The sequence below is a fragment of the Homo sapiens genome, chromosome 3 (genome assembly GCF_000001405.40).
Source record: "Homo sapiens chromosome 3, GRCh38.p14 Primary Assembly".
Classification (NCBI taxonomy): Eukaryota; Metazoa; Chordata; class Mammalia; order Primates; family Hominidae; genus Homo; species Homo sapiens.
The window spans coordinates 51,157,443-51,170,467 of record NC_000003.12 but is presented as its reverse complement, the minus strand read 5'-3'; the positions used below and the strand labels follow the sequence as shown (position 1 = coordinate 51,170,467).

The 13,025-nt window shown below is 37.3% G+C and overlaps 1 protein-coding gene across 23 annotated transcripts in view; it reads right to left on the bottom strand.

Moving 5' to 3' along the window:
* DOCK3 (dedicator of cytokinesis 3) overlaps positions 1-13,025 on the bottom strand; it is a 709,272-nt gene that overhangs the window by 213,731 nt on the left and 482,516 nt on the right. For 22 of the 23 annotated variants that reach the window (XM_005264914.4, NM_004947.5, XM_006713010.4 and 19 more), the window contains exons 11-12: positions 11,164-11,224; positions 9,766-9,913 (exon numbers count right to left, since the gene is read on the bottom strand). In XM_005264914.4, the coding sequence (XP_005264971.1) occupies positions 9,766-9,913; positions 11,164-11,224 (209 nt within the window). Of the gene's footprint in view, positions 1-9,765; positions 9,914-11,163; positions 11,225-11,488; positions 11,530-13,025 lie in introns of those variants that run through there. The other variant, XM_017005827.3, reaches the window with a different exon arrangement.

The following is a 13,025-nucleotide window of genomic DNA, read 5'->3' as shown; positions in this document are numbered from 1 at the left end:
ACCAAGATTGAATCATAAAGAATAAAAAAAAATCAATAATAAGAATACAGAAGCAGTAATCAAAAATCTCCCAACAAAGAAATGCCCAGGACCAAAAGGCTTCATGGGTGAAGTCTACTAAACATTTGAAAAATAATTAATGTCAATCCTTCTCAAACTCCCCCGCAAAAAAAAATGAAGTGAAGGGATCATTTTCAAACCCATTTTACAATGCCAACATTATCCTGATAGTAAAGTCAGATAAAAAGACTATAGGTTGAGTAACCCTTATCTAAAATGCTTGGGACTAGAATTGTTTCAGATTTTTAATTTTTTCAGATGTTGGAATATTTGCATTATACTTACTGGTTGAACATTCCTAATCTGAAAATCTGAAACCCAATATGTCCAATGAACATTTTCTTTTGAGAATCATATCAGCACTAAAAAATTTCAGATTTTGGAGCATTTCAGATTTTAGATATTAAACCCATAAAAAAAAGAAAATTACAAGTCTGATGAACACAGATGCAAAATTTCTGATGAACACAGATGCAGAACTTCTCAACAAAATACTAGCAAACCACATCCAATAACACACTGAAAGGATCATATACCACAATCAAGTGAGATTCATCCCTGGGATAGCACGATGGTTAAACATACATGAATCAATAAATGTGACGTACCACATTAAGAAAATGAAGGATACAAATAATATGACCATTTCTTTTTTTTTTTTTAACTTTTATTTTAGGTTCAGGGGTAAATGTGCAGATTTGCTATATAGGTAAACTCGTATCATAAGGGTTGGCTGTACAGATTATTTCATTACCCAGGTACTAGGCCTAGTACCCAATAGTTATTTTTTCTACTCATCTCCCTCGTCCCACCCTCATCCTCAGGTGGGCCCCGGTGTCTGCTGTTCCCCTCTTTGTGTCCATGTGTTCTCACCACTTAGCTCCCACATATAAGTGAGAACATGTGGTATTTGGTTTTCTGTCTCTGAGTTAGTTTGCTAAGATTGATGGCCTCCACCTCCACCCACGTTCCTGCAAAGGACAGGATCTTTTTCTTTTTTATGATTGCATAGTATTCCATGGTGTATATGTGCCACATTTTCTTTATGCAGTCTACCATTGATGGGCATTTAGGATGATTACATGTCTTTGCTATTGTGAATAGTGCTACAATGAACATACATGTGCATGTGTCTTTATGATAGAAAAATTCATATTTCTTTGGGTATATATCCAGTAATGGAATTGCTGGGTCAAATGGTAGTTCTGCTTTTAGGTTTTTGAGGAATCAACATACTGCTTTCCACAATGGTTGAACTAATTTATACTCACACCAACAGTGTATAAGTGTTCCCTCTTCTCTGCAACTTCACCAGCATCTGTTATTTTTTTACTTTTTAATGATAGCCACTCTGACTGGTGTGAGATGGTATCTCATTGTGATTTTGGTTGGCATTTCTCTAATGATCAGTGATGTTTAGCTTTTTTTCATATGCTTGTTGGCCACATGTATGTCTTCTTTTGAAGGTGTCTATACATGTCCTTTGCCCAGTTTTTAATGGCATTCCTTTTTCTTGTAAATTTGTTTAAGTTCCTTATCAATGCTAGATATTGGACCTTTGTCAGATGCATAGTTTGCAAATATTTTCTCCTATTTCTATAGGTTCTCTGTTTACTCTGTTGATAGTGTCTTTTTCCATGCAGACTCTCTAGTTTAATTAGATCCCATTTGTCAATTTTCGCATTTGTTGCGATGGCTTTTGTCATTTTCATCATGAAATCTTTGCCCATTCCTATGTCTAGAATGGTATTGCCTAGGTTGTCTACCAGAGTTTTTATAGTTTCGGGTTTCATGCTTAAGTCTTTAATCCATCTTGAGTTGATTTTTGTATATGGTGTAAGGAAGGGGTCCAATTTCAATCTTATACTTATTGCTAGAAAGTTATCCCAGTGTCATTTATTGAATAGGGAGTCCTTTCCCCATTGCTTGCTTTCGTCAGCTTTGTTGAAGATCAGATTGTTGTAGGCATGCTGCCTTATTTCTGGGCTCTGTATTCTGTTCTATTTGTCTATGTGTCTGTTTTTGTACCAGTACCATGCTGTTTTGGTTACTGCAGTCCTGTAGTATAGCTTGAAGTCAGGTAGCATGATGCCTCCAGCTTTGCTCTTTTTGCTTAGGATTGCCTTAGCCATTCGGGCTCTTTTTTGGTTCCATGTGAGTTTTAAAATAGTTTTTTCTAGTTCTGTGAAGAATGTCACTAGTAGTTTGATAGTGCATAGCACTGAGTGACCATTTCAACAGATGTAGAAAAAGTGTTTGACAAAATTTAACATCCTTTCATGATGAAAACTCTCAATAAATTAGATATATAAGAAATAAAGGCCATTTACCATGAGCCCACAGCTAATATCATATTCAATAGTGAAAAGCTAAAAGCCTTTTTTCTAGGATCAGAAACATGACAAAGATGTCCACTCTCATCACTTTTGTTCAACACAGTACTAGAAGTTCTAGCCAGAGCAATCAGGCAAACAAAAATTAGACACATCCAGACTGGAAGTGAAGGAGTTCAACTGTCTCTGTTTGCAGATGACATGACCTTATATACATATAAAAAGCCTAAAGATTCAATCAAAAAACTGTTAGAATAAAATTCGGTAAAGTAGCAGGAGACAAAATCAACATAAAAAATCAGCAATATTTCTATATACTAATGACAAGCTCTCCAAAAAAGTTAAGAAAACAATGTCATTTATGATAGCATCAAAAATATATAATATTTAGGAATAATTTAACCAAGAAAGTGAATGATCTATTTACTGAAAATTATAAAACACTGATGAAAGAAATTGAAAAAGACACAAATAAATGAAAAAAAATCCAGTGTTCATAAATTGGAAGAATTAATATTTTCAAAATATCCATATAATACCAAAAGTGATCTACAGATTCAAGGCAGCCTGTATCAATATTCCAAATGACATTTTTCACAGGAATAGAAAGGAACAATCCTGAAATTTGTATGGAACCACAAAAGTCTCTGAATACCCAAAGCAATCTTGTGAAATAAGGACAAAGCTAGGGGCATCACACTTCCTGATTTCAAATAATGTTGTAAAGTTACAGTAATCAAAATAATATGGTAATGCCATAAAAACAGACACATAGACCAATGGAACAGAATACAGATCCCAGAAATAAACTCAGTGAACTAGTCTTTGACAAGGGTACCAAGAATACACAATGGGGAAAGGACAGTTTTCAATAAGTGATGCTGGGAAAACTGTACATCCACATATAAAAGGATGAAATAGGACCTTATCTGACATAAAACACAAAAACTAACTCGAAAGAGATTAAATGCTTAAATATAAGACCTAAAACTGTAAAACTAGGAGAAAACAGAAATAAAAGCTCCTTGACATTGGGTCTTAGCAGTGATTTTTTGAGATATGACAACAGATACACAGGCAAGCCAAAATAAATAAATGGAACTATATCAAACTAAAAACCTTCTTCACAGCAAAGGAAACAATCAACAAAACAAAAAGGCAATCTATGGAATGAGAAGAAATATTTGTAAACCATATATCTGATAGGGGATTAATATCTAAAACTATATAAAGAACTCATATAACTGAATTGCATAAAAACAAATAACTCAATTACAAAACAGGCAAAAAGGCCTGAAAGACGTTTTCCCAAAGAAGACACACAAATGGCCAACAGGTATATGAAAAGGTACTCAATATCACCAACCATCAGGAAAATACAAATCAAAAAGAAAATGAGATATCACCTCACATCTCTTAGGATGGCTGTAATCACAAAACAAGAGATAACAAGTGATGACAAGAGTGTGAAGACAAGGGAACTGTTGAACACTGTTGATGGAAATGTAAATTGGTGCAGCCATTATGGTATGGCAGTTCCTCAAAAAATTAAAAATAGAACAACTATTTGATCCAGCAATCGCACTTCTGGTATATCCCAAAGAAAAAGAAATCACTATCTTGAAGAGATATCTGCACTCCCAGGTTTATTGCAGTATTATATACACTAGCCATGATATGGAAACAAGCAGCCATCAACAGATGAATAATAAAGAATATACATAGGCCAGGCATGGTGACTCATGCCTATAATCCCAGCACTTTGGGAGGCTGAGGCAGGCGGATCATCTGAGGTCAGGAGTTCGAGACCAGCCTGGCCAACATGGTGAAACCTCATCTCTACCAAAAATACAAATATTAGCTGGGCATGGTGGTGGGCACCTGTAATACCAGCTACTCGGGAGGCTGAGGCAGGAGAATTGCTTGAACCCGGGAAGTGGAGGTTGCAGTGAGCTGAGATTGCGCCATTGCATTCCAGCCTGGGTGACAAGTGTGAGACTCTGTCTCAAAAAAAAAAAAAAAAGAATATATATACATATAGTTCTTTGAATAAAAATAATATATATAATTATACATAATAAAGAATATATAATTACAATGGGAAGTGACGGATGAATGAGGAATTATATATTTTCTTTATTATTCATCTGTCAATTCCCAATGTAATTATATTTACTTGAGATGGCCACTGAGATAAATACATCTATTTTATCTTTTGAAATATAATAAATAATGGTATAGAATTAAAAATTATGTATCAATTATACATATAACAGATTATTCATCCATAATAAAAAAGGGAATCCTGCTTTTGTGACAACATGGACAAGCCTAGGGGGCACTGTGCTAAGCAAAATAAGTCAGATATGGAAGACAAATACTACATAATCTCTCACTAATATGAGGAATCTAAAAAAGTCATTCATAGAAGCAGAGAGTAGAACGGTGGTTGCCAGGGGCTAGAGGATAGTGGAAAAGAGGAGGTAATGGAGAAATGTTCATCTCAGGACACAAACTTTCAGTTGTAAGATAAATAACTTCTGGAGATTTATGTACAGCATGGTAGCTATAGTTAATAACGCTATATTGTATATTTGCTAAAATGGTAAACATTAGGTGTTCTTACCACAAGAAAAGTAAATATGTCAAGTGATGAATATGTTCCTTAGCTTGAATGTGGTAATCATCCGACAATGTTTATGTATATCAAATCATCATGTTGTACAATTTAAATGTGCACAATTTTTTATTTGTCAATTATAACTCAATAAGGCTAGGGGATAAAAAGAGGATGGCCCAATGGGCCTTCACCCATTTCAGAATGTGCTTCCATTTAAGAATGACTCCTGGCCAGGCGTGGTGGCTCACGCCTGTAACCCCATCACTTTGGGAGGCTGAGTACGAGGTTAGGAGATCAAGACCATCCTAGCCAACATGGTGAAACCCCATCTCTACCAAAAATACAAAAATTAGCCGGGCGTGGCAGCGAGTGCCTGTAGTCCCAGCTACTCGGGAGGCTGAGAGAGGAGAATGGCTTGAATCTGGGAGGCGGAGGCTGCAGTGAGGTGAGATTGCGCCACTGCACTCCAGCCTTGGCAGAGTGAGACTCCGTCTCAAAAAAAAAAAAAAAAAAAGGCTCCTAAACAAGTACTCTTAAGACAGTTTCGTGGATAGGATGGTTATGAAGCAAAGAACCCAAAGACAGTATTCTCAAAAAATGCCTGAATAGGCCTAGTGTCTATCCCAAATATGAGGAGCAGTTCCCTTCCAGTCATCACTCACAGAAGAGGTTGCCACCTAATATTGCTTTAATTAAAAGAAGTTTATTTCTTTACATTTTTAATTTTTGTGGGTACATAGTAGGTGTATGCCACTTGATATTTCTGGCCTCAAAAAGCCTTTCATGATATGGGGCATTCTCTGACTCTCCTCCTTTTTTTTTTTTTTTTTTGAGACGGAGTCTCGCTCTGTCACCTAGGCTGGAGTGCAGTGGCGCCATCTCAGCTCACTACAAGTTCTGCCTCCCGGGTTCACGCCATTCTCCTGCCTCGGCCTTCCCAAGTAGCTGGGACTACAGGTGCCCACCATCATGGCTGGCTAATTTTTTTGTATTTTTACTAGAGACGGGGTTTCACCGTGTTAGCCAGGATGGTCTCAATCTCCTGACCTCATGATCCGCCTGCCTCAGCCTCCCAAAGTGCTGGGATTACAGGCGTGAGCCACCGCGCCCGGCCTGAATCTCTTTATTTTGAACATCACAGCACTGTTCGGGTAAGTTATGTTAATCTGAAATTACCTCAATCAATGGGAGTTTTTAGATGCTTATGAAGGTTATCTGGCAGAATTGGTTAAAAGACATTTTTTTAAAAAAGAGCAAAGCTACACAGATTTAGTAATTATGGTTGGGGTATGATCACCAAATTGACGTGTTAAATGCTATTGTAAAAATCACCATAAAAGTAGCATAGTAAGTGGCGGTATCATCTTGTGCCTCAAGATGAATTTCCAGTGTGAAAGCATCATGAAAGTGTCAAAGAATGATGCATTAAAGCCAATCTGGTGGGAGTAAAAATAATGTGCCTTGGAAAACTGTATCAGATAATTCAGAAAGTGGCTTAAGTGAAGACAAAGACCCGATGACATGGCTGCATATGAATAATTTAAATAAATTTTTTCATAAAATTTGAGAGCCAAGAATGAGCAATATATCTCAATTTTACATAATATGTGATTGAGTACATAATTTGTAATACATATTTTATAATATAAAATATACTGTAATCCAAATTAAAAATTTAATATTCAAAATATGTATTTATCTGTTTCATTAAGGTTGGCCTAAATATATTTGGACATTTTTCATTGTAAAACTGGACAGTGATCATCACATATTCAAAGCCATCTTGTATTTGGTTACGTGCATTATTTATGGACACCCACCCCCTCCAATGTTGGCTTTAGCTCCTGGCACTCCTCTCCTTTTGGGTTCTAAGTACAGCATGCCCTGTGCCTGCTTGTGACCCCTTGTCCTTCGGGTCAAGAAAAATATGGTATCTATATCAGACTGAAATGTACATATGGTTATTTATTTGTGAGTTTTAAGGCTTTTGACTCATTAGGAAGTGACTTAGTTTTCATGCCTCAGCTTCTTATTGCAATTTTTTTTTTTTTTGCTATTTTCTTAAAAGGATGTGTGGTGCCTTCCCATACACAAGTGAAAACATTATACAGCAGAATAGTGGCCTTGGCAGAGACAGACAGGAGTTTCTACCTTCTCTGGCTAAGGCTGACTATGAACAATGAAAGAAATGATAAGAATGTGAACAACTAATCGGATATTTGCCAACTCATTCATTAAAACTGTGTAAGAGGTTTTCATCTTTGTAAAATCCCATCCTAGCAAAGGCTAAAGAACTATCAATAGCAATTAGTAAACTCTTTAAGCTTCCAATTCAATCTAACCAACAAAAATGTTGCCTGAAACTTACTGGAAAATATTGCTTCTCCTGAGGGCTAGATTCACTGTGCTGATGTGGATTAAAATGACTAATCCTAGAATAATTCTATATTGCACACAAAATCAATTTCACAAACATGCATTTGATAGTCTGCTTGAAAGTCTGTTAACATTTTCAAGTGGAAAAATTATTGTACATTTTAACTCTATTAATCCTTCAAAAGAAAATTTGAAAAAAAATCTTCTCTATAAACATATTTTTTTCATCTTTTTAGAACTACTTTATTAGACACAGACCATCCATAAGAAGGAACTAAGAAAAATACATACATGAATCCTGTTTCTTGCAGAAAGCTGTTGCTTTAGAAGCAATTAGGCCAATTAAGCCTGACAGCATGATTTCAGGAGGAATGCTGTGCAAGCTCCTATCTGTAATGAAAATTTGCACCAAAACAAGGAAGGCATAATACATGCAAAGAGATAACAATTCTGGAGTGCTATCTATAAATCCCTTGCCCTTGGAAGGAATACAGTGGAGTAAGATGATAATGATGATGATTTTGGATTTCTCTTTAGTCCTTTTCAAAGGGAGGAAGGCATATAAACAAGCAGGTTCCACCACCCATCAATTTGGGGATTTGGTAAATGGAGAAAGCCTGTGACTGATGCATGGAAGGAGGAGAAAACCAGCCAAAATTTTCTTTGTAAGTTATGATTCCAAAGGAAGATCCTCATCCCATAAAGTATACAACTCTGAAAGGAACAAAGCTTAAGGGAAAATAGGTAATGAGGAGATTGGGTTTTTATTTTGAAATTAATCAAATGTGGCTTAACAGAAATTGTGAATTAAGCTTATTTCATGCCCAAGTCAGACAGAGCAACAGATAATACAGAAAAATATCTATACGATATTATGGTGAAGATACATTAACATGGTGATTGGAAGTATTTTATTTAATTTGGATAAACAATATTGGGTTTTTAAACTGAAAGATGAGTTTTTAAAAATTCTCACAGTTTTAAATATACTTGCTTTAAAAACTTACTAAACTCACCACTGATCATTTTTTTAGCACTACAATTTGTGTCTAACTATATGAGCAAAGATAGAGTATATGACTGAATTCTGCATTTATTTTCATTATTGTGTTTTTCCTATTGTTTAACAAGTTAGAAGGAGATGGACTGCTTATCTAAGACAATATCCTTTGGTTGAAGAACACTAAAAATAATGCCATGCCTGGTTGGATGTGACTTATCGATCTCCAGTGGCACAAGTGAAGAATAATATCTTAGCTCCTCAGAAAAATGGGCTATCTTTCAAAGATAGAGAAATTCGACTCATGATCATTCTTTTAAACAATCTTGATCATTAGCCAGCTCAGTTATAATAACTGGTGGGCAAGCATTAGACATGCAAGACTCTCATAGCCAAGACACATGAGAAGCATATTGTTAGCTTTTCTGCAAATATATAAGATTGGTTAATTCTGGAGAAAAAAGAAAATGTGTACTACCAGATTTTCACTTTGGGATAGAAGGTCCCAAATGAAGCTGTTTCAGAATTACCTGGGAAGCTTATTAAAAATAATGCTGCCTGGGCCCCACCCCAAATCTTAGATCAATCTTCCGCATTTTATTTTTTTGTTCTTTTTTTCTTTCTTTTTTTTTTTTGAGACGGAGTCTCACTCTGTTGCCCAGGCTGGAGTGCAGTGGCATGATCTCAGCTCACTGCAAGCTCCGCCTCCCAGGTTCACGCCATTCTCCTGCCTCAGCCTCCCGAGTAGCTGGGACTATAGGCGTCCGCCACCACACCCAGCTAATTTTTTGTATTTTTAGTAGAGACAGGGTTTCACTGTGTTAGCCAAGATGGTCTCGATCTCCTGACCTCGTGATCCGCCTGCCTTGGCCTCCCAAAGTGCTGGGATTACAGGCGTGAGCCACCGTGCCCGGCCAATCTTCTGCATTTTCAAAAAGCTCCTTTTCCTACATCCTGGTGATTCTGTGTCCACAAGGTGTTTTTGTTTTTTTTTTTTTTCTTTGAAACGGAGTGTCGCTCTGTTGCCCAGGCTAGAGTGCAGTGATGCAATCTCAGCTCACTGCAACCTCTGCCTCCCAGGTTCAAGCAATTCTCCTGCCTCAGCCTCCTGAGTAGCTGGGATTACAGGCACGTGCCACCACGCCTGGCTAATTTTTTGTATTTTCAGTAGAGACGAGGTTTCACCGTGTTAGCCAGAATGGTCTCGATTTCCTGACCTTGTGATTTGCCCACCTTGGCCTCCCAAAGTGTTGGGAATACAGGCGTGAGCCACTGCGTGGCCTGTGTCCACAAGGTTTGAGCACTACTACTCTCAAGGGCAGTGCTGGGATGTCTTATGCTACAAATCATTAATATTCCTGATGTCCATTACTCACGTGTAAACCTTAAGAACAAAATCCTTTTCTTCCTTTACTTCTGTGAGTGACTGTAGGACATCCAAGATGCTTAGGACCGCACAGCCATATGGTCGCCTGTAGTGCAGGTGAGGAGGACCTTTCTTTGAGTCGTTCAGGAGCATCCGGCCTTGGGCACAGCAGAAAACACCAGTCAGACTGAGAAAAGCATGCTCCTCTCCAGTATCACCTAATTGTCATCCAAGGATGCCTGAGCTACAGGCACCTAGGAAATCCTCTAAGGTGAAGACTACAGGGCTGAAGGGAGTCATCCAAGGATATTTATGTGGAAGAACACCAAACAGGCCTCTGGCCAAAGCTCTTCCCTGTACTACATTCAATCAATCATTCTTATCTAACTCTAAACCAATATCAACACTCCATTTATTAATCACATGAGAATAAAAGTGATTTTATGAATTTCTTAGAAAAACCAGTGTGCTAATAATAAATTTAAACTTCTCAGGTATGTTTTAGATACAAAGTTTAGTATTTTAGCTGCCAGGTATAAACTGCATATGCACAGACAAGGAGGATACTGTGTTCTTTCAACCAAATTCTGCTGTCAAACATCATCTTGAACAATTGTGGGACTGAGAGTAGTCTTAGAAAGTGGATGAGTGTTTACTTTTCCTGCTTACCAAAGCTGTGCCTACAGTGGCAAGAAGACTTGCAAATGCTGGAACCTTAACAAACACTTTATTTAGTACAGCAAATAGCTGTTTTGTTGGCAAGGGATTAAAAAATATTCTTTGATAAAAATGTACATGATAGGCCAAAACTCAAACCTATGAAGGAGGACTTGGTTCACCATAGCCCCAAAAGTTGTATCATAAACTTGAAATAAGTCTGAGCAAACCAACCACAGAACAGTAGTAAAAATCACTTTTTCATCTTGGGTGGGGTAGAAGTGAAATGTCATCCATCTTCTGGAGTGATGACAATAACTCTAATTTTGTGGAGAGAGCCACAGATACATAATTTCAAACACAAACAATAGGTGGTGAATGGCCTTTGCTGTGAAGTTGGCACCTCTGGAAACCTGCTATAAGATCTCTGAGGGAAAGGGTAGGGCACTGTGTTAGAAATAATGTCTAGAAGTAGACCATTTTAAATAAAAAGTTTGGGTCTAAAAACAGGGAGCAGAAGGTTTTAAGTGATTAAAAAACACAAACAAAACCCACCCCCCCGAATCCATTTATATCAAACCAAGCTACCATAGCAGTTGAGCTTAGGTATAGCTTCAATACAAGCTGGACTCTAATCCTGAGACCTGAAATTACAGGTAAGATCTAGGGAGAAAACAAAGCTCATGCACAAGACATACTTATCCCAAGTTGGGCCATTCTTAGTCATGTGAATGGGTAAGGTGAACAGTACCTATTCGGATCACATGGGCAACGATATACAAATCTCTCTTCATATCTTTGCTGCTCAGATCCTAAGAGAAAAAATAAGTAAATTCAGGCAAGGAATACACAGAAAATAATTAAAAATTCATTTTGAATCTCTAGTCATTTGCTTTTACTGTATGTTATAGGCAGGGGAAGGGAGATTACAGCATATAGCACTTTAATGGTTTATAAGATGTCTGCAGTGAAAGTCTGGATATCTTATATGGCTTTGGAAGTTTATTCTATTGACAACATTTTTCCAGCTCTCATTTAGACCACTTAACAAATAAAAAGTCTATAAAAGTTCTCACATTAGAAATCTTCATGATATCGCCTTATTCCATGTTTACTCTAACATCATATAAAAACATTCTGTAACAGAAGGAATAAATGTTCAGTAAAGAAAAAATTGGGAAAACACCAAAAAGCTCATCAATAACTAAAATTCTATAAGTTTGTTCTCCACTAATTTTACATTGATTCCTCTGTCCACAAATGATTATTACACACGAAGTTGTTCCACTTAAAAGAGATTAATTTGATATCAGTGAAACCTCAATAATTTGATTTCTATTTCTAAATTCTGATATTTATCATTTGTACTAAATTATAGTTGAAAATAATCTTATTGAAAAAAATTAAGGGTTTCCTTTAAGTAAACACATATGATCCAGAATCAGAAAATTTCCAAACCAAAGAGTTATGAAAATCATTCCTTTTTCTTTCTTTCTTTCTTCCTTTTCTTTAAAAAACAAGATCTTGCTCTGTCACCAGGATGGAGTGCAGTGGTGCGATCACGGCTCACTGCAGCCTTGTCCTCTGGGTCAAGCGATTCTCCCACCTCAGCCTCCCAAGTAACTGGTACTACAGGTGTGCACCATCATGCCCAGCTATTTTTAAAATTATTTGTAGAGATGGGGTCTTGCTATGTTGCCAGAGCTGGTCTCAAACTTCTAGGCTCAAGCAATCTTCCTGCCTCAGCCTCCCAAAGTGTTGAGATTACAGGTGTTAGTTACCATGCCCAATCTGATAATCATTCTATTTGTGTTTAGAACATATGTTGAAATGTTTGTTGATGAGTACGCATTATGCTTTTTAAATGTATTGTACTTGAAATAACAAAAATTCTTTAATATATATTCTGTTTCAGATTTTTCTTGCTGCTCTCTCAGCCATTATTGCGAGTTAATGATACTTGATGGAATAACCTTTGTCCTTAATGTGACAGGTTTCTGTGATCTCCCTTTCGCTTCTAGGAAAGGCTCCCTTAGTTCCATTTCCTTTTCCTCTTTCATCTTTTGATTGACCCCAGATGCCTGTCTCTCTTCAATTAAAAAAAAAAATGTAGTCCCAGCTACTCGGGAGGCTGAGGCAGGAGAATGGCATGAACCCGGGAGGCAGAGCTTGCAGTGAGCCGAGAAAGAGACAGCGCTACTGCAGTCCGGCCTGGGCAAAAGAGCGAGACTCCGTCTCAAAAAAAAAAAAAAAAAAAAAGGTACAATCAAATGGCAGTCATGATTTGGAATGAGCTTAGAGATTCAGAGTCTCCATGTTTCTTAATTTGTAAACCCTGTTGCAGGGTTAGCACTAGTGTGAGGCAAGCAAGGCACCTAAGGTACAAAATTTAAGAAGGCACTCGCTCCTCAAGATCCTGTGCTTTGTTTGCCTTAGCCTAGTCCCAGCCTCGCCCTATTAAATGGCCTTAAACATATGAAAGAAAAGGAGACACTAAGAAGTAATATGTGGGCCAGGCATGGCGGCATATGTCTGTAATCCCAGCACTCTGGGAGGCCGAGGTGGGAGGATCGCTTGAGGTCAGGAGTTCGAGACCAGCCTGGCCAACATGGT